Source organism: Homo sapiens, chromosome X (genome assembly GCF_000001405.40).
Source record: "Homo sapiens chromosome X, GRCh38.p14 Primary Assembly".
Lineage (NCBI taxonomy): Eukaryota > Metazoa > Chordata > Mammalia > Primates > Hominidae > Homo > Homo sapiens.
The window spans coordinates 97,344,614-97,371,937 of record NC_000023.11 but is presented as its reverse complement, the minus strand read 5'-3'; the positions used below and the strand labels follow the sequence as shown (position 1 = coordinate 97,371,937).

General features: G+C 37.7%; 1 protein-coding gene across 2 annotated transcripts in view; it reads right to left on the bottom strand.

The window, feature by feature from the left end:
• DIAPH2 (diaphanous related formin 2) overlaps positions 1-27,324 on the bottom strand; it is a 920,156-nt gene that overhangs the window by 233,060 nt on the left and 659,772 nt on the right. For both annotated transcript variants that reach the window (NM_006729.5, NM_007309.4), the window contains exon 24: positions 23,658-23,822. In NM_006729.5, coding sequence (NP_006720.1) covers positions 23,658-23,822 — 165 coding nt within the window. The remainder of the gene's footprint in view (positions 1-23,657; positions 23,823-27,324) is intronic.

Here is a 27,324-nt window from a genome sequence, read left to right as displayed (position 1 = left end):
TTTAAGTGACTATAGGAAATTAATTACAATTTTTTGAACCAAAGGAACAGAATGAAATTCTAAAGTGACTGGTAACAATATTTTAATGAAAAAACATCTTGGGGAGGTATAGGTGGAGGGAAATGACAAAACAAGTGGTATGTGACAGGTCTGAGATCTGAGTTTACTGCCTTAATACTGTCACCATCTTAGAAGATGGGAGAGGCAGCACAATCAATAAGGTTTTTGATGAGACCAATTTAGGTGGTGGCAAAAGCACCTTAGAGACTTGGATAAGAATATCAAATTACCTTGACAAGTAGAATTATAGACTCACAGAACAGGAAGGGCTCTAGAAGAATGCTTGCTCTAATGTTCTGCCTGTGGATAGGGTTCCATGATCTCCCTCAGGAACCTCTTCTGATACTTAACCTCCTCAAAAAGGAAATATTTCCTTATGCCTCGCTAAAAGCTGTCAGTTTTTTAAGCCCACGTCTTGTCTGTTGGCCTCTGTGAAATAGAAACTTGGTCAATATCTTCCTTAAAACTTTTTCATGGAGGTGTAGCTTGTCCCCAGGAACCGCCATATTGCCTGAATTCCACAAAGTTGAAACTAATCCCTAAATGCAACGCAGGTGAATTTCTTAGCTTGTAGAGTACTGGGGGAAGGATGGGATCCAAGAGACCCTTGAGAAAAACTGTTGGGACTTTAAATTAAGCCAATCAATACCATTTTCTGAACAATAACTTTCTCATAGAGACTAATTTGCCTACATTTAATAATGTTTAGGTTTTCTTCTGGGTGTTCTCTACTTGTTAGATATTATTTTTAAATTATAGACTTCTCCATCCTCACCTGCCTCCCCAAAAAAGAAGAGGACAAAGCTGGAAACAATACTCTAAGAGATGTGCTATCCAATATCTACCAGTTTTTCATGCTCTAAATCTTCTAAAATATTATAGCATTTGTTTTGTAACATTTTCAAGTGCAACTGTAAAGTTAGAAGATTGGTTCCGATATATCTGCTGAATCCTGTCCTACAAATAGCCACCTTTGGAAGTCCTAAACTTGTGTTGGTGAGGGCTATTACACTGTAATTGAAACTCCTCGTTCCGAATTAACCTCTGAATCAAATGAAATTAGTCTCATTATTTTATATTCACAATATTTTTGACCACATATTTTGTTACTCAGTTTGATCATGTATCTTATTGATAAAACTTGGCTTGATGTAACTTCCGGCTATTTCCAAAAATCAAGCGCACCCTCAGATTACAAATATTTAGTACTCCTGGAAAGACCTAAAGCACATGCTGCATAACTCTTAGGGAAATCCAAAATAAGGGTTCCCAAAATATTTAGGGTAATATCATTATCCTTCAATTAAGATAACAAGAGGCTTAAAATTTCTTTGACTTTACACATTTCTGATTTGTCTTCTTTAAAAAACAGTTACACCTCATATACTGCTAATTCATGGTTAGTACTGTACTGTTCCACTAAAAATCAAGAATCTTTTTCCAGTGAATTTATGTATGTTCTTGTCTGCATGCTACCTGCTTGGTGCCCTTAATTTATATCTTACTAATTCCTAACTGAGCTTGATCCTATTTCTGAGGGAACATACACAGCCAATAAAATTCCTTTTTTAATGAAGTGTTAGAAATCTCTCTGGACATACTGCCATTGAAAATTTATCTGTCCTTTGGGTGATGAGAGGGACAGGGAAAGGAAGAAGAGGGCAGGGAAGCAATAAAGGTAAGAAAAAAGTAGGCTGATTAATATCCAGTGACTTATGCCTTCATTGAGAAGCAGGAAACATTCATTCATTCATTATCCAGCATGAACTGTCACATACCGTTCTAGTCCCTGGGGAATCAATAATAAGCATCACAAACAAGCCTCTTTCACTCATGGCTCTTAGGGATCATCAAAAGAAGCACTAGAGGGTTAGTCTACTTTTGCTCTATGTCCCAGACCCACCTAGAGCACTGTCTTACTATCAGTTAAAATCGTACTCTAAAGTCTAGTTCTTATTATTTTCAATCATTGAGAATGACTGTCACATGGGAGGGAATAAAAATCCTAGTGAACAGAGAGATTTTTTTTGCAGTATGGGGAACAGATTCTTTCAAAGAAGTAGATTAAGATGGTTTTGCTCAATTTGTTTTTCACAAAGCCTTCTTGATTGCCAGTCAGAACCTTGTGCTTTTGTAAGTAGAAAGTGATTGTTTGATGATTTGTTGTCCTATCTTCCAAGATATTGACAGCAAGATGTCCTTTCAGTAATTATGGGGTAGCACCTTTCCCTTTATTGATGTTGTCTGAAAACTCAGGGTAATCTTTATATGTAGAGAAATATATATATATATAAAACATCAAAAATGAATGGAAACCGAGCAACACAAACAAAAAAAGGAGCACTGATGAGGTGTGGAAAAGTATGAAAACATAGCACTTAGTGGTCATGGTGGTCCTTAAATTAACCTCACGCCACTAGGTAATATTGCTGGTAAGGGCAATGAAGTTATAGAGCAAGCATACCTTTAAACCTCTCCTCCCTCAGATTAAATTGGAGACTTCAAGGGCTGCTTCACTAACCATCACTACAAGATGCACTCACCCTATTTTATATATAATGTTAATATATCCATTATGTATTTAACATGCATTCAGATATTCATAGATATCCTTTATGCACATTTGCTTCGGTGTTGGCTTAGTTTAACAGCCTCTGAAAGGTAGATTCTGGCTGGTCGCGGTGGCTCACGCCTGTAATCCCAGCACTGTGGGAGGCTGAGGCGGGCGGATCACCTGAGGTAGGGAGTTCGAGACCAGCCTGACCAACATGGAGAAAACTTGTCTCTAATAAAAATACAAAAATCAGCCAGGCGTGGTTGTGCATGCCTGTAATCCCAGCTGCTCGGGAGGCTAAGGCAGGAGTATCGCTTGAACCTGGGAGGTGGAGGTTGTGCAGTGAGCCAAGATCGTGCCATTGCACTCCAGTCTGGGCAACAAGAGCGAAACTTCGTCTCAAAAAAAAAAAAAAAAAAAAAAAGAAAGGGTAGACTCTGTTGGTTTAGTTTGCTTCAGGTGTGATATTCTATTAAGATAAGCACCCTTAACTATAAGCCTATTACAGCACCTAATACAAAAGAGGCATGCAATAACTATTTCTTACTTAATGAAGACAATGCTGATTAATTTAGTGTAAATACCAGACCAGCATGCATATGTGATAGCCAATATCTTACTTGGGCTTATACTTTTTGACAGTTTGGCCTTTTTAAAAGAGCTGTGGTTAATTTATGGGATGAACGACTCAAAGGGCAGAGACAGATTCACCATGAAGCTAATGAGCAAAAGCATTAGGACTTCTAACTTGCATGGGAGGGGCACTGGCAATGTGCTCACTTGGCCATGTGTTTTGCTAAAATTTAAAAATAAAAAAGATTTCTTTTAAAAAAAAATTCCTTTTCTTAAATGGCTGCTCCCAAATTATACAAAATACAGCCTCACAAATCTGGATCCTCCACTGTTTAAAGAATATGTAAAAACCTGATGTCCGATGAAGAATAAAAGAAGTGCTGAACGTTTGGGAAATGCCAAACCATGAACAAAAGATGGATAATTAAGCTCAGGGAAGATTGAATTAAGGGATATAACTATATCCATAGACATGAAGTGGATATGTATTTAAAGAACAAGTCTTATTAGATATCTTCCAGAGTTTCCCACGTCAAAATAATAGGACCTGAATTTAAATTTTAAAAAGAGAAACTCTGATAATTAAAAAGAAGTTTACATTAAGGATGGCAAAGCAATGGAATCAAGTCAAGTTATGAAACTACTTTCTCTAGAAAACTATTTGAAAGATTAGTTAGCTGCTGAAGGGTTAGGCAAAACTTGCCAGGAGCCTGAGTTATTAAGATAACTTACCGATAGAGGGCCAGGAGCAGTGGCTCACGCCTGTAATCCCAGCACTTTGGGAGGCCGAAGCGAGGCACTCGGATCACCTGAGGTCAGGAGTTCGAGACCAACCTGGCCAACATGGCAAAACCCCATCTCTACTAAAAATACAAAAAAAATTAGCTGGGCCTGGTGGCGAGCACCTGTAATCCCAGCTACTTGGGAGGCTGAGGCAGGAGAATCACTTGAACCTGGGAGGCAGAGGTTGCAGTGAACCGAGATTGTGCCATTGCACTCCAGCCTGGGCAACAAGAGAGAAACTCCATCTCAAAAAAAAAAAAAAAAAGATATTTTACCGATAGAGAATTCCTTAGTTTCTATCCTAGGCTATTCTGGCTCTATAGGTATATGTTTCTGAGTCATTAGTTTATAAAACAAACAAAAAAATACAATGAATATACAATTTCATATCTTTCTTTGACACCCTAAATCTTGGGTATGATACAGCAGAGAGTTGGTCTGTAAAAATATCTGAAAACAAAATAGCGTGGATCATGTTTGAATGGGATACAGGTCGGAACCAGAGATATTCTGCTTTACAATCCTCTTTTCCAAACTGGAAATAATAAGGACACTGTTATATAGTAGTGATTGCATTCTGGGAAGCAAGCCATTCCATCTGTAGATGAGTATGCCAGCTACATTGCACAATGTAAAACATCTCACTTGTGATTATATCCTTGATCATGACCTAGATTTGGCCAAATATCACTGCTTACTTACTGATGGGAATATCCTTTCCTTATTGTGCTAATGATCTACTGCCCTTTCCTTTACCTCCCTCCTCCCTGGGTACTACCCCATTATTTATAGAGTTTTTCTGGCTTCATCATGAATCTTCTGCTTAAGTTGCCTTATTTATTGGTATAAAGGGATTTTTTTCCATTAGGCTTAACATGTTGGACAAATAACTTATAAGAGGATTTAGGGCATTTACAGACACATTGAATTTTATTTCCTATACAACACTTTGCAATAATAAATGTCATGTGTTAGACTTGACTTCTTTCAATGTAAACTTCTGTATGCCCTTTTGACTCATGGATACTCTAGTACAATGAAATCTGTGTTACTTTTTGCATATTGTGCTTATACTTAAGCACTCATAAAAATAAAATATGACACTATAATATACTTAAGAAATTTTAAATGACAAAATTTTATCCCGTGAAACTTAGAATTATTACACTTTTTAAAAGTATAGCAACTCCCCAGAAAAGAGAAGTTGGAATTTTCAATTCTTTCTTCAAAGGATCTTTGAAGCTAGTAAGACTTAGAGAAAGTAGAAAGATGTTTGAAGGTATGTTTGAAGAATAGTCCTTCTCTAATGATTTTTATCATAAAGAGAAAAAAAAATCTAGTGACATAAGCAGGTGTCTGCTGGCTATGGATAAATAATGAAGATGTAAATGGTCACGGTCAATCATAAGTGAACAGTAAATCACAAAGGCTGACAAATGAGAGGTTTGATGCTAGAATGTAGAAATAAAATGGAGTAAACATGAGGTACTTCCTGTGCCTATTATTAGCTCTGCTCAAGAATTATACCAGGAAAATATAGCTCACTTTGGGATTTCACAACTTAGAGTGATGGAGTGAAAGTAGACAAGTTTAAGTACTTGAGTCAAATATTTGCTAAATCAATGTTGACGAAGAGTAAAAGGAGTCGTTAAAATAATGAAAGATCTTGAAAAGGTGGCAGAGAGAAAGAGAGAGGCAGAGAGAGACAGCTAGAGGGCTTTGAAATATTAATCTAAAAGACCATTTATTATTAGATTTCTAGAACAGTAGGAACATGATTACCAATTACAAACATGGTTACCAATCAATAAATATTTGCTGGTTACTTTTATGTGCCACACACTCTGTTGTGTAATAAAAATTCAAAGATAAGTGAGACGTATTTACTGTAAAGGAATTCACAGCACAAAGAAGGCAGGTCTGTACATCACCAATTAGTTGAATATTACAAAAGCCACATTAACAATATGATATGAGCACCGGGTGCGATGGCTCACACCAGCACTTTGGGAGGCTGAGGCGGGTAGTACACTTCAGGCCAGGAGTTCGAGACCAGCCTGGCCAACATGGTAACCCTGTCTCTACTAAAAATACAAAAATTAGCTGGGCATGGTGGTGTGCACCTGTAGTCCTAGCTACTTGGGAGGCTGGGGCAGGAGAACTGAACCCAGGAGGTGGAGATTGCAGTGAGCCGAGATTGTACCACTGTACCCCAGCCTGGACAGCAGAGCAAGACTCCATCACAGAACAAAACAAAACAAACAAAAAAAAAATGAAAAAAAAAAGAAAGAAAGAAAAAGAAAAATATGATGAGCATACCAAATAGGGGGTAATTTTCCCTGGAGTTCAGCAGGGGGTATTAGGAAAGGCATAACAGGGAAAGTAGCCACTAAATGGAGTTTTGAAAGTTGAAAACAATTTCACCAGGTAGAAGGGAGACTGTGCGTGTGACTGTATTCCAATCAGAGAAAAAGGGTAGTGGCTGGGGAGAGTTAGATTACCAAGGGTTTCCAAATGCTAGTCTAGGCTTTACTGTCACCCATGGAAGGCCACTGAAGGTTTCTGAGAAGGTGAATGTCCCAATGAAACCTACGTTTTAGAAAACAGTATCTGGCAGCAGCATACAGTTTAGAGAGTGCTAAGACTAAGCTCAGGAGAACTAAAAGATTACTGCAGTAGTCCATGGGAAGGAGAGAGGACAAACACTGAAACTTGGGCCGTTAAAGTGAGGATGAAAGTAAGATTTTTTTTTCTTTGCTGAGACTTAATATAGAACATGCAAACAACGGTGCTTTGGTAAGATTCTGATGGGGAAATCATAAAAAACAGATAGAGTCTCTTGAGTTTTAACTGCATAAGCTGGGTATGAAATGGAGACTGAACAGATGTAAATAGCGAGGGAAAAGAAGATATCAAGTTGTACCATCAGCCAAAGAGAATATGGGAGAAAGTTGAAAAGGATGTAATGAGTTCCCTTTTGAATATGCTGAGTTTGAGGTAGTTATGGCAAATCTAGTTAGAGGCATCCAACAGAAAATAAACTTGGGTCTAGAGCTGAATAATAAAATCACAACTCAGGAAAGTGTAGGAGCCATTGGAATAGATATCAACTACCCAGGAAGAAAAATATGCAGGACCAAAAGTAAGACCTTTGGAAATGCTTTATTTAAGATTGAAGGAAGGAGATCCAAAAAAAAAAAAAAAAAAACACCAGGAGACATTTTTACTGAAAATCAAACCAAGAAATCCCGCCTTTATTATGACAAAGGATTATTCTAGTGATCAGGCTGTATATGTACCATACCATAAGGTAGAGTAGGGAGGAAATCTGGAGTATAAAACATTTCTTTTGTACCTACTATACCATAAGGCACTAATTGTCTTTTGTCTCCGTGGCTGAGTAAGTGAGCTGAGCATGGCTTGGGTTTCACACAGTAAGCTTGGGGTAACCCCCTGTAGACATCCTGCTAAGCCTACAAGGTGAGTGTAGTATTTCTGCCTAAGGGACAATATATAAAAAAGTAAATGTCACCCAGAAAGAAAGGGAAAATCAAAGCTGAGTTGATACTACATCTCTGCCAATGAAACTCCTGAGTTTCCAGCCTCTCAAAAGACAGGGTGGGCTGGATCAGGGTTTTGGGTTGCCTGAATTCTCTGATCCATGTCGAAGGGGAGGTCACTCCCAGGAAGATGCCAATTTGACAAAGCTATATTATGACACCAGAACAGACAGGTTAAATTGTGAAATGTCCTTGGGAGGAGGGTGTGAGGTGGGGGGAAAAATTCTAGACCCAGGAAGATTGTGCAGCTACATATATGATGTTCTTTCAGAGGTACAAGAAAGGCTGTCTTTCCCTCCAATATTTCCTCTATCAGCTAGCCATGTTGCAAGAAGTTCTTGACAGCAGAATTGCTCTGCTGAATTAAGGCATTGTCCTGAATTTAAAGGGCATGTATGTAATACAGAATGAGTGACACATTAGTACTGCATTAGTTTATCAGATCAACTAGCTGACAGTTGGCAGAGAACAAGGACCAGGGGAAAGGAATCCAAGATGAACTAAATGTCTTTGTAAGTTCCTTATAATTTTTCATATTTTTGGCACTAAAAATATGCTTTTACTTCACTACATGCTTTGCTATACATCTCACCTTTTGTCAGAGCTTCCTGTCTAGAAACCCATTTCGGGATGTTATTGTCTATCTTCTTAAATAAGATATCCGAGTTCCCTTGAGGAAGAAGTAGTGACTGAGACTGAATCTGTATTTGTTAGGTTTTTTTTTTTTTTTTTTTTTTTTTTTGAGGCAGAGTCACGCTCTGTCACCCAGGCTGGAGTGCAGTGGCGTGATATCGGCTCACAGCAACCTTCGCCTTCCAGGTTCAAGTGATTCTCCTGCCTCAACCTCTTAAATAGCTGGGATTACAGGTGCAAGCCACAATGCCACGCTAATTTTTTTTTTTTTTGTATTTTTAGTAGAGATGGGGTTTTGCCATGTTGGCCAGGCTGGTCTCGAACTCCTGGCCTAAAGTGACCCGCCCACCTCAGCCTCCCAAAGTGCTGGGATTATAGGCGTGAGCCACTGCGCCTGGCCTAGTTGGCGTTTTTAATAGCAAAAATACTGTTTTGCTTTGTTTTCTCTTGAACAAGGAAAGGTTTTAACTTGCTTAATTAACAAAGGCAAGAGCCATTGATTTTGAAATGGCATTAGGAAAAGGACAGATTTCTTCTCAGGTGTTTCCTCTTTAATTTTTAAATTTGATCTGTGTCTAAAAGTAGACAATATGCCGGGCTTCTAGGTAAAGTTCTCTATTTGTATATCCTCCATATTCCAGAAGATAATGTTACAATTATTTAACTGAAACAATAAAGCCCTTGGCAAGACTTTTTCTGTAAAGTGGGACAGAATTAATTTTTATTTCTTCTACATCACATAAGGATACATGGCTGATGAAATAGTTCGGGTTTGTATAAAAATCATCTAACTGTACCTAGTGAAGTCTTCTAAATAGGACAACTCAGTGATCCCTGAATTTTAGGAAACATTTACACTGTTAAAATCTAAATCTTAGCTTAAGAAATTGATTGCACAATGGAACTTTATAACTATTGTTGAAACCTTTTAGCCACTGTCATGTGGCCATTCCACTGGTATGATTTCTTCTTTCCATAGCACTTAACGTTCTAACTTGTAATATAATTTTCCCAATAATTATGTTTATAGTTTATTTTCTCATTTTCCACATTTGGCTCCATGATGGCAGAGCTTTAAAATCTGTTTTAGTTTACTGAAATAAATCAAACAATGCCAGTGGCTAGAACAGTGTCCACTGTTTAATAGGCACTCAATAAATAATCCTTGAATGAATGAATGAGAAAAAGAAAGCAAGTAAACTAATAGCTTTTCAAGCAAATTAGAAAAGCAGAATGTCCTTGTGTAAGTATATTCTAGCGAAAGACAGAACGCAAACAGTGAAGGATAACTTCAAAATAAATGGGTAATGTTTTCTATTTACATTTCTGTTTTCTAAGATTTTTAAAAACTATTTAATTGAACACAAGTGTATATTTCACAGATAACATCTCATTTATTTTTCTTTTGCCAATTTGCAACGTTTGACAATTCAAATAATACTGAGCAACAATTTACTTTTGTGCTATATTGATACTTTTAGTTGCATGTCCCAATCCATGCAATGCCAGTCTTTTTTTTTTTTTTAATTTTCTTGAGACAGACTCTTGCTCTGTCGCCCAGACTGGAGGGCAGTGGTACCATCTCGGCTCACTGCAACCTCCGCCTCCTGGGTTCAAGAGATTCTCCTGCCTCAGCCTCTGAAGTAGCTGGGATTACAGATGCCCACCACCACACCCGGCTAATTTTTGTATTTTTAGTAGAGACAGGGTTTCACCATGTTGGCCAGGCTGGTCTCGAACTCCTGACCTCAAGTGATCCACCCGCCTTGGCCTCCCAAAGTGCTGGGATTACAGGCGTGAGCCACCGCGCGCTGCCAATGCCAGCCATCTTACTTGCTGGCAAAGCCATGGATTAATCTAAGGTTCTCCTTGATGGTGATTAGTTTAGGGATGGATGGGCATGTGGCACAATCCTGGACAACAAAATGTGAAGGAATCAATCTGCCCAGGAGCTGCTGGAAAAGCTTTTCTCCCTAATTGAAAAAAAAGCTTCATAGAGACAACACACTCTCCTTTGTTAGACGTCCCCATATTTGAATGTGATGCCTGGAACAACTACAGCCATTGTGCAACCAAGAGCCAACATGCCAAGGATGGCAGAACAGAAATATCTGGAATATCCTGGGTCCTTAATAATATTACTAAGCTACTGAATTAACCAACCCTGTAACTGCCTTACCTCTACACTTCTTGTGATGTAAGAGAGTAAAACCATATTCTTAAGCTAATTTTAGTTATGTTTTATGTCACTAGGCAGCTAAAGGCATCCTAATACATTATACAAAAGAATAAACATCAAAATATGCTAGTGCGTTCAAAAGCAGAGTTAAATCAATTATTTTCAGGTACTTACAGAAAAACTTGAGCAATAATATCTACATACACAAGCACTTATAGTAATAATTGAAAATTAATTTGGCCTATTCATTAAAGACTGTTACCTAAAGAGTTACCTAAAACATATTTTGCCTAAATAATGCTCACATGAAACAAGTCTATCTATTTGAATATATTCTATTCTAAAACTTTTAATATAGTATGAAATAACAACCATATAATTAGGATGTATTAAAAAATGCTTCTGGCCAGGCATGGTGGCTCATGCCTGTAATTCCAACACTTTGGGAGGCTGAGGCAGGAAGACTGCTTGAGGCCAGGAGTTCAAGACCAGCCTGGGCAACATAGCACGATCCTGTCTCTAAAAAAGAAAAAAAAAAAAAAAAAGAAGAAGAAGAAGATTAGCCGAGCATGGTGGTGTGCACCTGTAGTCCTAGCTACTCAAGAGGCTGAGGTGGAAGGATAGCTTGAGCCCAGGGGTCTGAGGCTACAGTGAGCTATGACTGCATCACTGTACTCCAGCCTGGGCAACAGAAGGAGACTGTCACCTAAAAAAGGCTTCATCTTAAATTTTTATTTACAAATCTTATATTTTAAACAAAGGAGCAAATACTTTCACAAATAATATCTCGTAGATGTCATTTGATGAAGGAGGATTGCTCACAACACTAAAAATAATTAACATTCAAAATAAAGTTTCAAGTTTTTGGGGAACACCAACCCATATCTCCCATGTAGAGGTTATATTGTTTAATACAGTTATATTTGCGATTTCATCCATTTTACATAATCATCTGTTTGTTTGTTTGTTTTAGAGATGAAGTCTTGCTCTGTCGCCTGGGCTGGAGTCCAGAGGCACGATCTTGGCTCACTGCAACTTCCACCTCCCGGGTTCAAGTGATTCTCCTGCCTCAGCCTCCCAAGTAGCTGGGATTATAGGCGCCCGGCACTATGCCCACCTAATTTTTTTTTTTTTTTTTGTATTTTTAATAGAGACGGGGTTTCACCATGTTGGCCAGGCTGGTCTCGAACTCCTGACCTCATGATTCACCCGCCTTGGCCTCCCAAAGTGCTGGGATTACAGGCGTGAGCCACCGCACCCAGACTGTTTTGTTAATTACTGCTGTTTTATATGTCCCCAATGTATATGAGACTTTAGTTTTTTATTACTAGACCAAAGACAATTGAGCACGAACAAATAATACACTATTCTAAACTATAGTGTCTCCAGTATGAAGTTTGGCTCTTTTGTGCCTGATTAATAAATTTGAAAAAATAAAATAAAATGACTTCAACTACACTGTCATACTGAGTAATCCAGTAGTTTGAGCACAAAATATATAAGATCCCTGAAGAATAATAGAGCATCTTCCATTTCAAAATGTCAAGATTTGAATGGATGATTAGCTTTTCAGGAATACTATGTATTCTCTGGTTTGCCCAATACCCCATGAACAATGTCAGGAAATTCTGAATATTCCAAAACCGTATGTTTGCAGAAACAGAAATTAAAATGGATATGAGCAAAAATAGTAGCTGCCTCATTATTAAGATTATAACATGGCCGGGCGCAGTGGCTCACGCCTGTATTCCCAGCACTTTGGGAGGCTGAGGTGGGTGGATTACGAGGTCCAGAGTTCAAGACCAGCCTGACCAACATGGTGAAACCCCATCTCTACTAAAAATACAAAAATTAGCCAGGCGTGGTGGCAGGTGCCTGTAATCCCAGCTACTTGGGAGGCTGAGGCAGGAGAATCGCTTGAGCCTGGGAGGCGGAGGTTGCAGTGAGCCGAGACCTGCCACTTCACTACAGCCTGGGCAACAGAGCGAGACTCTGTATCATAAAAAAAAAAAAAAAAAAAAAAAAGATTATCCATGTTTCAGATCTTTAAAAAGCAGTTTAGGAGACTGTATTCCATGACAATGAAATTTGATTCAAGAAGAGGATGACAGAAACAAAGGAAAAAAATACACACACGCACACACACACACATATATAGGACATATATAGGACACTTACTCTCATTTTAAATCGTAACATTGCTTTTGTTAAGAATTTTTGTGATTAGATTACAAATCATTATATTATTAACAATTTGCAATGATTAAAAAAGAACACCCTAGTTTAGGTAAGTAATGGTTCTTAAATCAAAGTGCACAGCAGAGAACAACAGCAAAGTGCTTAAGAAACACTAGTGTGAATAGCCTAACTGGACAGTCACCAATTACTGATTTAAGGCCCCTTGACACAGGGAAGTTTAATGAGGGTATTATGTAGAAAACAAAAAGAGAAATCAAGATTCTACCGATCTCTTTACAGATGGCTTACAGTAGTCATGATTGTTAGCATGGTGCCAAAGACCAGGTGTTTGTAAAAGGGCATCATGAAGTGAGCCAATTAACATGTTTAATCACAACTGAAGACATAACCAACGGCACTATACACTGAATGTGGATGGACATATCCATATAAGCATGATCCACTAGCCTTTTTACAAGAAAATATAAATTTAAAACTTAAATTTTCAGAAGTCTTTTTATTATTATTTTAAGAAAAACAAATTCACAATCTAAATACTTATGTACATGCATAGGAAAATGCCTGGAAGGATATGTACCGAGGTATTAATATTAATTAACTCTGGATAGTGGAATTGCAGTCGACAGTTTTTTTTCTTTTTGGTATTTATATTTTCTAATTTTTCTACAATTTACATGCATGATTGGTAATTAAAAAATTTTACAAGCCATATAAACTGGGATGTTTCAAAGCTATAGAAAAAAGTAGTAACTGTAACAATACAGTGATCAAATTAACATTTGAAATTATTAAAATATTACATCAATATGATAGATATAATATTAACTTATCTAGTAGATTTTGCTTATTAATTTGGACTATTGCACATTGTTTTCCACTGATTTTTTATAATTTTTTTTAAAAAATCTTTTGCAGGTAATCCTGAAACAGGGTTTCTCAATCTCAACATTACTGACATTTTGGGCTGAATATTTATTTATTGTGGGAGGCTCTCCTGTCCATTGTAGGATGGTTAACAGTGTTCCTGGTTTCAGCCACTTGATGCCAGTTGCAGATCCTACTTAGTTGTGATAAACAAAAATGTCTCTAGATCTTGCCAAATGTCCCTTGGGAGGCAAAATCGCTCTTGGGTGAGAACCACTGGCCTAAATTAACACCAGGCAAGTCAGACTTTAAGCAGTTGCTTTTGCCCTAGATAATCTGCATCAATTGTCCTATTGCTCAGGACAACTGTCAGTCATAAGAAGTAACTGAAGCTTGGTTACTGCTCATCTAAGCATATGGCAGATAACCTTTAGATCATCATAATTAGCTGGTAACTGCTTCTCTGGCAACAAAATAGCTGTTTTTCCACTTTGAACTCAGCATGGAAAACTAGGAGACAATGTATGTTTACCATTAAAATTAAACACCAAATGAGGTGGGGGAGAACAAAAAGGAAAGTGCTCCTTAAAACATGAAAGGCCATATAGTAGCAAAACAATGATCAGACCCAGTTCACATATCTCTATGTCTTTGAAGCTTTCCTTAAATCAGACAGAAGAAATGCCTCACTGCTCTGTGCTTACAAGCTCTTTGTACATATGTATTATATTTCATTACCACTATTTGTTCTTTCACTGCCTTTCCCACTAGAATGTGAGCTCTGGAGAGCAAATATTTTGATTTTTTGTTTGATTCACTCATTGTTCTATTAATTCATTAAGCCATTCATACATATCCTTCGAGATCAGCACTGTGTTTGACCCACAGTAGGCTAATTATAGTATTAATCACGAGGGTATGGAGATAAACATATTACAGGGTAAAATGTGCTAAGATGGAGGTATGAGAGCACAGAGAAGGGTAATCTACACCGAAATGGAAGTTAGGGAGGGCTTCTTAGAGGAAATGACTTGAACAAGTTGGTAGGCAACTGGAAGGAGGGGGGAGAAGAAGAGGGGGCAGGCATACCAAAGGAGCTCAATGGGCACAATTCCGGGGAAGTCCTCCCTTCTACTGCCTTATTCAGGGGTGACGGCATCTTTTCTGACAGAAGATTAATTAGCAAATGGACAAACAAAACAGGATGAAGCAGAATGAAGAAAAATTCAGCCAGCTGAGAGGGTGCCACCAGTAGTATTAACCTCAGGGATCTTCATGCTTAGGTTGAAACAGGCATGCTCTGATCACAATCAATACCTCTGGCCAATCTCAAGACTTCTGGAAAAGGTCAGCTTGTATACCATATTGCTTATCTTACACTTTCCCACTTCCTGGTGTTTGGACATAATTCAATAATAACTTATTTATAGGGAACACTTCTGTGAAAAATTCTGCATGAGGCGTTGTTGCTGGAACTAAAGATATTACATTCTGTTTCCTGATTCTAGTTCTTATTAGACTTTAATAGGAAAAGGTGGCATTGAACTGATTTTGTTAATATTTTCATTGTTAATTATTATATTGTCAGATTTTTAAAGGGTAAAATTCAGCTTGTCATAAACAATTCTGTCAACTTTTATAAATATTTTTAGAAAAAACTGTTTTTTTAGTTTTATAATATTAATCTAAAATGCATACATATTTAAAAACCATCCATACTAGTAGGTATTTTTTTTTATCATGTTAGGGAGTTTGAGTTTTCCTTAAACCATGTCTTCCCTTATTACATATTCCTTTAGTTCCCTATGATATGATATTTAGCTTTTCTATACAAGGAAAAATCATATAAGAGAAATAGGACATCCACTTCTGGCCCAAAGTAAACAGTCAAAGAGAATACAACATTTGATAGGTGACATCTCTTTCTAAAGAAGAATTCAATGATATCTGTAAAATACAGTAAAGTCTGCTCTCTGGCACAGCTGGGGAATGAGGTATTCCGGTCAAATATTCTGCTTAATAGAGTTACCATATATTTTCCATGGATTGCCTATTTTCAAAGAGTTGCAACAGATCAAAATAAACCTAAGGCTATATACCCAGGGTGGTCCCAGCTGAGCTCAAAGGGAATTATCTGGGTGTATATGATTAACTAGAGAGAGTTGGTGGGCCCTTAGGGCTCTATTTGCATGAAACGATTTATGCTGGCATTTTATTTATTCCCAGCTCCTAGGAAAAGGAAGATACATGCCTAGGCACTTGAACAAAAGGGGAGAAGGAGGGCAATGGAGGGGCTTAAGATTTTAGGATTCCCTTCAGGTCTCTAGGAGTTGAAACAGTTTTTAGTCTCCAAGGAGAAAGGGATCAGAAGAGATGCAAAATGAACTGTTTTTATGAAGTGTCCTGTGAAACATGGCTACTTCTGCACTGAACATAATACCACAATGGTACTTCAAGATTGATGACAAAATTGGAGCAGTAGGAAACTGTACCCTTGGCCCACACATAGGCATTTTCATTAAAGGCAACCCCAAGCAGTTTTGCCTGCAAAAAGCATTTAGCAGAATGGAGCTGAAGCTACAGCAAGACAGGACAGGCAGGGGCTTTGTCTGTTTTGTTCATTGCTATATTTTCATCACTCTAGAATAAAGGCACTCAGTTGCTGATTGGTGAGCAAATTTCAACTGGTGACTACAGATGACGTTTTCAGCACCCATGAAATGACTCCAGGTGTACTTTTAGGGGTAAAGACTTTGTAAAGAGCTTGAGTCCTGCCAGTGGGGGAAAAGAGGAGATAACTGGGATATTTGGATTACTGTTACTAAGGACACCCCCTCTGAATTCATAAATGAAGAGACCTGGAGACATCTAGTTTACAAAAAAAACTATATCATTAAAGAAGCACATCACGGTCTTGCAGCTTCTTAAGGTTGTTTTCAGAATATTACCATTTTACTGGCAAAGCAAAGAGGCACCAACTTATGAGGCATCTAATAGAAATTTCTGGATGATGAAATTCTAGATATCAGAATTTACATTACTGATTAAGACACTACTTTGTTAAACAATATATTTGGTTTCTCACATAAGCCTACCATTTTTATAATACTGAAGTTTTTTTTTTTTTTAATGTCAAGTGCTTGGTTTAAAAATGTGTCAAAACAACTTAAGTCATTTTGGATCAGGGATTATATACACAATCCTTTCATGTAAAAATTCACCCTCATTTCTTTAAAGGTAAATTACCATTAATAAATGAATCAAATTTTCTGTATATTATCAATTTAGTCTTTCAAGCCTAACTAAATGCAGATATACTCATTGACTTTCCAATTATAGTTTAGATTTAGACATGACTGAGGCCTTGTAAAAGGGAAGATAGCTTAAGAGAGATGAGAGATTTTCAAAATTAATTATCTCCATAAGCCAACATGGCTACACAGGGAGCTCTCAGACAAGTTTAGGTTTTTAAAGAACAATTACTTAAGATAGAAGGAAGAACATCCCTGAGAATTAACGTAAGAGTGAACTCAGTGGTTATAACTCTCCATGTCACACCAGCTATGGGAGCAATAAAGGCATAATGACAATCATACTTTGGCCTTTCAGCCTTTTTTGAATTTTCATATGGTGCTTCCAAAGTTTCTCTTTGTTCTGAGAGACACAGTTCCTCTTAGGAACTTGCTATTATCTTGTTCTACTGCTTCTACTTTCCAGAAGTAACATTTCCCAATTTGGGAGAAGAGTTCAATCTAAGTGACTGCGGCCCATTCAGAGCCAACCATAGATGGTCTGGCCTTTAAAGTAACCATAGCTCTTTTGATTTTGTAAACCATTTTAGTTTAAAAAGCTCAGATTTGGTCGGGTGCAGTGGCCCACGCCTATAATCCTAGCACTTTGGGAGGCCGAGGCAGGTGGATCACCTGAGGTCAGGAGTTTGAGACCAGCCTGGCCAACATGGCGAAACCCCGTCTCCTACTAAAAATACAAAAATTAGCCAGGCGTGGTGGTGGGTGCCTGTAATCCCAGCTACTCAGGAGGCTGAGGCAGGAGAATCACTTGAACCCAGGGGGTGGAGGTTGCAGTGAGCTGAGATCAAGCCACTGTACTCCAGCCTGGGCGACAGAGCAAGACTCCATCTCAAAAAAAAGCTCAGATTTATCCTGAGGCCACAGGGAAGTTATGAAAGAATCTTAAGTCAGGAAACTAAGGTTATCTTGTTTGGTTTCTTTTGTTTTTAATTTTATTCTGACTAAAATGGGGTGAATGGATTAGGAAATGGAAATGGGTAAGAGAAGAAGACACAGATACCAGTCAGGAGGTCATTATTATAGTCCGGACGAGAGATGGTTGAAGCCAGGAATTCAAATAGTGTCAGTGGGCTTGGAGAGAAATGGATGGATTCAAAAGTTATCTAGGGTCAGGCAAAGTGGCTCATGCATGTAATTCCAGCACTTTGGGAGGTTGAGGCAGGAGGATTGCTTGAGGCCAGGAAAACAAGATAAGCCTGGGCAACACAGCGAGATCTCATCTCTATTAAAAATTAAAAATTTAGCCAGGCATGGTGATGCATGCCTGTAGTCCTAGTTACTTAGGAGGCTGAGGTGGGAGGATCACTTGAGCCCAGGAGTTTGAGGATACAGTGAGCTATGATCATACCACTGCACTCCAGCCTGGGAAACAGAGCAACCCGGTCTCAATCAATCAGTCAATCTGGGAAGTAGAAGCAGCAAGCCTGAATAATGGCATAAAACGCTATGATTACTTGATATCATTTAGCATCTTAACACTTAGTTATTTTAATGCTCATCTAGGAGCTGTTCCAAAGTTTATCAAATGAACAGTAGCACATACTGATTTTGTTGAGGGGAAATTGGCTGGCATGATTAAAAGCAACGGTAACATTTTCAAGTTATGTCAATGAATCTAATAATTCTGCAAAGCCTTATTCCTATATTTGGTATATGAGGTACAGAATGAGGACACACACACAACAAATATTTATGGAGTGCCTGGGTAACATATTGTTCTTTAAAAAAGCAAAACAAAAACACACAGAAGCAGCAGGAAACTGACAGATTTAAAACAGAAAAGAAGTATTTTCTATAATTTATTTGGAGCTGTGAAAGTTATAGAAGTATAATACTTGCCGTGAACACTTTCCCAACAGCTGAAATTAATTTTTATGCCTAAGCAAGATACTGCATGGTGGTGAAACATATACGGTTCACCGATTTTGAATATTCTATTCAAAATATCTCAAAAGAAAAAAAAGACTATTTGTGCAGTCAACTATTTGAACTAAAAGAATGACTGAAGCATAGAAAGGAGAATAAGCAAAAAAGATGTTTAGACATTGCATAAATATGGAATTTGATTTATTTGTATACACTTATGAAGTACAAGTGCAATCTTGTTACATGCATGGATTGCACAGTCGTCAAGTCAGAGCTTTTAGGGTATCCATCACCCGAATAACATACATCATACCCATTAAGTAATTTTTCTCATTATCCACACCCCTCCTACCACAAAACCCTCCTGAGTCTCCATTGTGTATCATGGAATTTGATTTTCTTCCACAAAATATGCAACTTAAATTTAGGGGCTATTAATTTTGTCTATATTGTATGCTGTTCTTTTTTTTTTTTTTTTTTTTTTTGGAGACAGATTCTCACTCTGTCCCCCAGACTGGAGTACAGTGGCGTGATCTTGGCTCACTGCAAGCTCCGCCTCCTGGGTTCACACCATTCTCCTGCCTCAGCCTCCCAAGTAGCTGGGACTACAGGCACCTGCCACCATGCCCGGCTAATTTTTTTGTATTTTTAGTAGAGACGGGGTTTCACCGTGTTAGCCAGGATGGTCTCGATCTCCTGACCTCGTGATCTGCCCACCTTGGCCTCCCAAAGTGCTGGGATTACCGGCTTGAGCCACTGAGCCTGGCCTGTATGCTGTTCTTTAAACTCATGAAATCTCTGAGAAACTAACTAGAAAGGGTCTCAATTCTGAATTTAGAAATGTTTCTAATTATATATACCTTGATACCAATATATTGTACATTCATCTGGAATACCTTTGATATCCTCATTAGCTGAGTAATATAGAATAGGAATATTAACTAATAGAAGTCTTCCAAAGACATTATCCAATTCTGCTTTCATTCATTTGAATTGTTTACTTTCAAAAAGATCTTAATCCATAATGTCAAATTCTTTTATTTGTATTTGCCCCATCTTTTAGAGGATATCTCTATCGGAGGAAGATTTTTTGGTATGTGCATTTTGTTTATGCTACATATGCCAAATAGATCTCCCAAGATGAAACTCTGAGCTCATTTGGAAGTAATTTTTGGTAGCACATGCATCAGAACTCTTATTTTCTTCTCAGCACTACTGGTATTTTATTGCTTCCATCTATAGTCCAATATGCTTTTAGTGCTAAGAACCCTGAGGCCAAACACACAAAGCACTAAGAAAATGGGAACTTCTGGCGATTACAATTTTTGCCAATCTTTCAGGGTTCTTCCCTCCCCTGGGAGAGTGAAATCACTTCAAGTTCACTATGAAACAGGAACATGGTGAGCACAAAGGATTGACTGAAGTTGGTGATGTTGATTTAGGAGTCTTCGACTTAAAGGTCAGGTATAAAAACCTCAAACCTGCTTGTCAAACGCCTATGGATTTTTCAAGACTCTGCCCTAATGTCACTTTTTTTTGTTTTGTTTTGTTTTGAGACGGAGTCTCTCTCTGTCGCCCAGGCTGGAGTACAGTGGCGTGATCTTGGCTCACTGCAAGCTCCGCCTCCCAGGTTCACGCTATTCTCCTGCCTCAGCCTCCCGAGTAGCTGGGACTACAGGCGCCCGCCACCACGCCCGGCTAATTTTTTGTATTTTTAGTAGAGACGGGGTTTCACCGTGGTCTCGATCTCTTGACCTTGTGATCCACCCGCCTCGGCCTCCCAAAGTGCTGGGATTACAGGCGTGAGCCACCGCGCCGGGCCCTAATGTCACTTTTTCTATGAAGGCCTCTCTGGCCAACACAGGCAGAGTTAGGCAGTTCCTCCTTTATGTTATTATCGCACCTTAACATATTTCTATGGCAGCACTTATCAAATTATATTGCATTTGTTTGTCTGTCCCCACTCATGGATAGAGAGAAACCATTCTCTTCCTTTTATCTGTGACCCAGAGCATTACCAAAATCAAGTTGGTTTTCAGTAGTTAATGGAAAGGATAGTCAGAGAATGGCTAATAATATTCTACATCTGTATAGCATAGGTTTCAAGGTCTTTTCAGATAGTAGTGAGGAAGACATGGCTTAAATTATTTTCCGTCTTTTATAGACAAGGAAACAAATGCCCAGAGAGGTTATATGTCCCACCCACGTTCAAAACAGTTAATACGTTGCACACCTAATTCTCATGGCAGCAAGTTGATAAAGATTTGTAGATAGAAGTGGTAGCAGTACTGTTATATAAGGCAAAGATAGCAATGGCTGGTCAGGAGTGCATTAGGTAAGTGTTTCAGATTGGTTGACACATTTAGGATCTGATTACTTGTTTTGAAAGTTAATCGTAACAGGTTCTCAAGAAATTAACTTAAATGGACATGAAACTGGACATAAGAATATCAAATTATTTACATTCAGTGACAATATATGAAAAATTCTTACTCTGTACTCAAGCTACATGTGCAGTGAAGTCAGCAGAAAGACATAAAACATATCCTACATATGTATGTAATATATATGACTCTGCCATCTCTGAAATTCGAACTGTGACTCAGACTACTAACAGGGAAAAGAATTCTTAGAGATCAATCCTTTAACTCTTTCATTTTACAAAAGACAGACAGAAATGGATAGCTAGAAAGGACAAATGACTTACTCAAAGTCACACAGCTTTTTAGTGGCAGTACCAGGATACAAAATCAGGTCTCGTTAACAATAATATTCTTACATTTTTAAAAAACAAGTTATGATTGAAAAGTGATACAAGTAGAGTTCTTAGCCTTCTAGGCATATGGCTAATATGAGTACACACAGGCTGTAACACTGGAATTATTAGAAGAATGCTGCAACATGGGGGGGCAAGTACACCATCTACTACTCTGTGTCTGTGTATTGGGGAGGTAAGGGAACATATAATAAGACAGACAGTGTTTTAGGATCTAAATGGAGATCAACAATATTAATCATATGTATTCTTATATATTTTACATATATATTCTTTTATTTATTTATTTATTTTGGGACAGAGAGTCTCACTGTCTCCAGCGGCTCACTGCAACCTTCGCCTCCCAGATTCAAGCGATTCTCCTGCCTCAGCCTCCCAAGTAGCTGGGATTACAGGCACCCGCCACCACGACCGGCTAATTTTTGTATTATTAGTAGAGACAGGGTTTCACCATGTTGGCCAGGCTGGTCTCAAACTCCTGACCTCAGGTGATCCACCCGCCTCGGCCTCCCAAAGTGCTGGGATTACAGGTGTGAGCCACCGCGCCTAGCCACATACATATTCTTATATATCCATTCACCCACAGACATTGTTACAAAAAAAATTATTGGATTTATCATTTCAGTGTGTCAACTAAAGTATATTTTCTGGTCATCATTCCTTTTTAATGTTCATTGTTTTGTCCTTTTTGAAAATAATCCAAGTAGATATAACCTGTGCGCTTATGTGTTCATAGCATATAATCAGCTTTTAAGTTTTGAAAATGATTTGACTACTTCTCTTAGCCCTCTTCTCATTGCCAGTAGAACACATTCTACTAGTTATGGGTTAGCTAAAAAGTATGTGTCTCTATGAAGGGTCAAAGACAAAAATCAACTAATATTTTCAGCAAAAAAGAAGACATATGATCATACTTCTGGAAGTTTGTGGATTAACTTCTGTGACTAAAGCTGCTTGTTTAACTGTTCGGGTATGCTCTGGGTTATAGGCCCTGGGTTAGGAGATGAAAGCAATTTGATTTCCACAAGCATATTCATATCTCACAGATGAAGTCACACCAAAATCAAATGATTTCACAGGGCAACAGCATTGACAAAGAAAGTACTGCTTTGGGAATACAAAGAAAGTACTGCTTTGGGAATACCTCACACTGGAATGAATTTGTTTGTTAACTGATCTTCCTGTTGGGGATTATTGCTAGAGGTCCTCACGCCTGTAATCCCAACACTTTGGTAGGCTGAGGTAGGTGGATCACTTGAGGTCAGGAGTTCGAGACCAGCCTGGCCAACATGGTGAAACCCCATCTCTACTAAAAATACAAAAATTAGCTGGGCGTGGTGGCATGTGCCTGTAATCCCAGCTACTCGGGAGGCTGAGGCAGGAGAATCACTTGAACCTGGGAGGCAGAGGTTGCAGTGAGCCGAGATCACGCCATTGCACTCCAGCCTGGGCAACAGAGCAAGATTCCATATCAAAAAAAATTAAAAAAAAAAAAAATATATATATATATATACACACACATATATAAATACACATATATATACACACATATATATACACATATATATACACACACATATATATATACACACACACCTTTACCTGTTTGATATCAACTATTATGCATATCTTTCTGTTACTATTGCAATCAGTCTGTGCTCTTCCTGCTACTCCTTTGTTAGATGCAGAGGACGTGTATTTCCATAGCATTTATATAGCAAAGCCTTTGATTCCTTTTAGCATCATAACTTGTACCCTAATTGCCACCCCCAATTAATGCTAATATTTACTGTGATCCTCAAGAGTTCCAGTTTAAAACAAGAGCCCACATTGTGAAAGAAACTTTAGGTATTCAATGTTATTTACACAGTCCAATTCAAAATCAGTTTCTCATTTAGGCTGTGAAAGAAACTTATTTATAAATCACAGCATTTGAATTTATTATGTGAAAAGTTCTAGATATTAATGTTTACGCTACGTGAAATTATAATATTATGCTATATAAAAATTGGGGTTATTTAAGTACCAATTCATTCATTTCCTATAAAATTTCAGTAAAACATTTCCCATGTATACTTAACATTGAAGATGATTCATTTAGGTCCACATTATGTTAAGCCAGCCATGACTTATAACTTAATTTTTATCCATGTCACAGGTATAAAATATCTGTCAATTCTTATTAAAAAAATGTCACATGAAATCAATATAGTCAATAGGAACATAAAATGACAATAGAAGGAAAACATTCAGAAATATAAGCAACAGGTCTTGCAATGCTTTAAGATGTATTACTTACCAAAAACAAAGTTCGGAAGTTGTTGAGATCACCAAAGAACTCTTCTATGCTCACTGTCTTTGAGTCAAAAATGAAGTATTCTCCAAGATTCTCATAGAGCTTCATCATGTTGTTGTGCATGGTGGAGAGTTTTTCATACTGTTCTCGGGCAGTCTTTGTAAAGCTGTAGCTTTTTGTTAAGGAACATGGCTCAACAGTACCTTTTAAAGGCAATCAATCACTAGATGTTAAGATTAAATTAAATCATCACTTCTATAAATACATTAGTAATGCACAAATACTTGTGTATTAGTTTGTTAGGGCTGCCATGGTAAAATACCACAGATTAGGTGGCTTAAACAACAGAAACTGATTTTCTCACAATTCTGGAGGCTAGAAGTCTGAGATCAGGGTCTGGTGGGTTTAGTTTCTTCTGAGGTCTCTCCATAGTCGTTCCCCTGTCTGTATCCTAATCGCTTCTTCTTACACTAGACATATTGGATTAGGGCCCACCCTAATCAGCTCATTTTAACTTAATTACTTCCTTAAAGTCCCTATGTTCAAATATAGTCACATTCTGAGGTACATGGTGGTTAGGACTTCAACATATGAATTTTGGGGAAGACACATTTTAGCCCAAAATAACTTGATAGAGTCATTATATTGGTTAGTGAGACTTGAAGATCTTTAAATTAGGCAGAACTATTCAATATGTAGCCACACGGAACATTTGTTAGAAAATGTTTGCTAAATGAAAGCATATAGGCATAAATACCAGAAAACGGCCTCATATATTTTTATGAGTAAGGTAGAAAACAGTGGCAAAAAACTTAAAGAAAAAACTATATATATATTTTTTTTTCTCTCTTTTTAATATACATCTCTATATAAGTAGAGATAGAGGTTATAGTGAGGCCAGGTGCAGTGGCTCATGCCTGTAATCCCAGCACTTTGGGAGGCCAAGGTGAGCAGATTACAAGGTCAGGAGTTTGAGGCCAGCCTGGCCAACACAGTGAAACCCCGTCTCCACTAAAAGTACAAAAAAATTAGCCAGGCATGGTGACACGCGCCTGTACTCCCAGCTACTCGGGAAGCTGAGGCAGGAAAATTGCTTGAACTCGGGAGGTGGAGGCTGTGCTGAGCCAAGATTGCGCCACTGCACTCCAGCCTGGGCGACAGTGTGAGACTCTGTCTCAAAAAAAAAAAAAAAAAAAAAGAGGTTATAGTGAATTCTGTATATGAGTGTTATATATGTGTGTGTGTATACATATATGCATAACCCACATGAGGAAAGGAAACAGAGAAGGAAGAAGGTGATGGGGTTCAAGACACACTTCCCCAAAATATGGCACCTTGGCATTTGAGAAATCAGCAAAAGCAGGAAGTTCTCTCTGATCTTCTAATCCTTTTCTCCTGAAGCAGGCAAGAAAATGATTCTCTTAACTGCCTCTGAAGTAGGTTATAAGACCCTCATTTCAGAGCTGCTCCTCCTATACCTGAAGGAAAAGAATGTCCTTATCTCTGGAGACATATGGACACAGAGAAGAATCTGAACAAATATGCCTTGCTAAGTTCCCCCAGCTCATTACCATTAGATCATACCCCCTTTGCCTGATTATATTTCCCTACTGTCCACTCTTCATCAAACCTAATCATAAAAATATACAAGTTTCCCTATTTCTTTTGGTCTTCATTTTTGAGGGCTCCTGTGTCACATAAAACTTATATTAAATAAATCCATAAGTTTTCCTCTTGTTAATCTGTCTTTTGTTTTAGAGGTCTCAGCTACAAACCCAGCAATGGGTGAGAAGAGAAACTACTTTTCCTCTATAAAGGAGAGGAAGTGGCCTGGCAAGAAAGGAGGAAGACGGAGAAGGAGGGAAGGGGGGAGGGAGAAGAGAGGATGAAGGGGAGAGGGAGAGAGGGACACAGAGGGAGAGGGAGGAGAAGGAGAGAGAGGTAAAGAAAATTTGCTGTAGCTCTAGAGAGAATTTTCTGTAGCTTTAGAACCTTAATCGCCCAAAGGGCTTGTTAAAACACAAATAGCTGTTTCCTGGGGCCCCAGATCAGGGGCCTAAGAATTATCATTTCCAACTAATTTCCAAGTGATGCTGATGTTGCTGGTCCAGGCCCACACTTTGAGTAGTATGTTCTAGAAAATTAAGTAGAAGCTATTATCTCCAGAAACTAATTTTACCAGTTTTAAAAAAATTTTGAAGGAATAAATGATCTTAACAACTACCATTACCAAATCATAAAATGAACCAAATATATAAATGTGTCCTACTAAAGATATCTCACTATATATAAATTTATACTTATAGAAATTATAATACATTTTTTCTGATTATAGAAGATATAAATGGCCCTTTTTTACAACTTAGAAATTAAAAACTTAAATCAACTAAAATTTCCCACTCAGAAACAAGTATTGTGAACATTTTGGAGCATTTCCTTCTGGTCTTTCTTCTATGGCTAGTAACTTTTGATTGTCATAGATAAGAATGTTTTAGAAAAAGGTAAGTGGACTAACCATAAAGAAAAAAGGAAACAAAATCAACAGTTTAAATTAGAGTTAAATCCATTAAAAATTAATAATGATCACAGAAGTAAAATTTCTCTAGATGCAAAAGTAATAGACTTGGAATTGTATAGAAAAATAATGGTGCAGTCTGGGGCATACTATTTTAAGATCTACTATAGAGTATTAATATTTTGTGGTGTTATTATTTTATCAAGTACTGATAATTGTGCCTTGAAAAACTTGACTTTATAAGATTTTCTGAATTCTTCACTGTGTTTTATTATAACCTGGGGCCAAATTTATTTTCCATGGGAACACAGCTCTAGTTCTATAATGGAAGTCAATGGGGAAATCAGACCATTTCTGGAAAGTTACTTTGCAGCTGACACTTATGGAATACACCATGATTTTAAAAGTGAGATGCCCACTTCCTATGTTCTTTTTTTATGCTACGTAAGTATTAGCATTCACATTAACAACACAACAGCCTCTTTCATGCTGACAAGCCACATTAAATCTTTTAGTCCTCAAGCCCATTTTTGTGTCAATAGACCCGAAAAAACAAACACATTTCTGACAGACTCTACTTTCCTTTTTAGCAATGGAAGGGTACACGTAATGCTTCATATAAAAACATTCTGATTTTTACCTTTGAGACTGTCATCATATATATATTGGTTTTTAAGAAAATGTTTATCATCATATTTAAGCATAGCAGAAAGAAGACTCTTCATTTTTTAGCAAAGAATGAAAGTGACATTTCTGTTTTCTAGCCTCTCTTCCCTAAATAAAACAGATTCATTCCAGGGACTCGCTAGGCAGAAGCACTTTGCAAAGGTCACTTACTTGTAATCTATTTGCAATGCAAATTACTAAACTGTTTGCATATTGCAGAAAGCTCAACATCTGTATAACACAGAGAAAAAGCCAAAGATAACAAAAAAGGGAAAATTTGTATGTTCCCCATTTATCATAACACAATTTTTCACCAGCTAAAACATGTCCATGTAGTGATACCGAATTTCATAAATTTGTTCTTATAGAACAAAAACTGATTTCAGAAATTGTCTCGTACCCAAGTGAGGAAACCTGAAAAATTCTGAGAATGGTTTATCTTGAAAATAACAAATGGAAAGCAGCCCAATCTCTAAATCCTTCACTTAT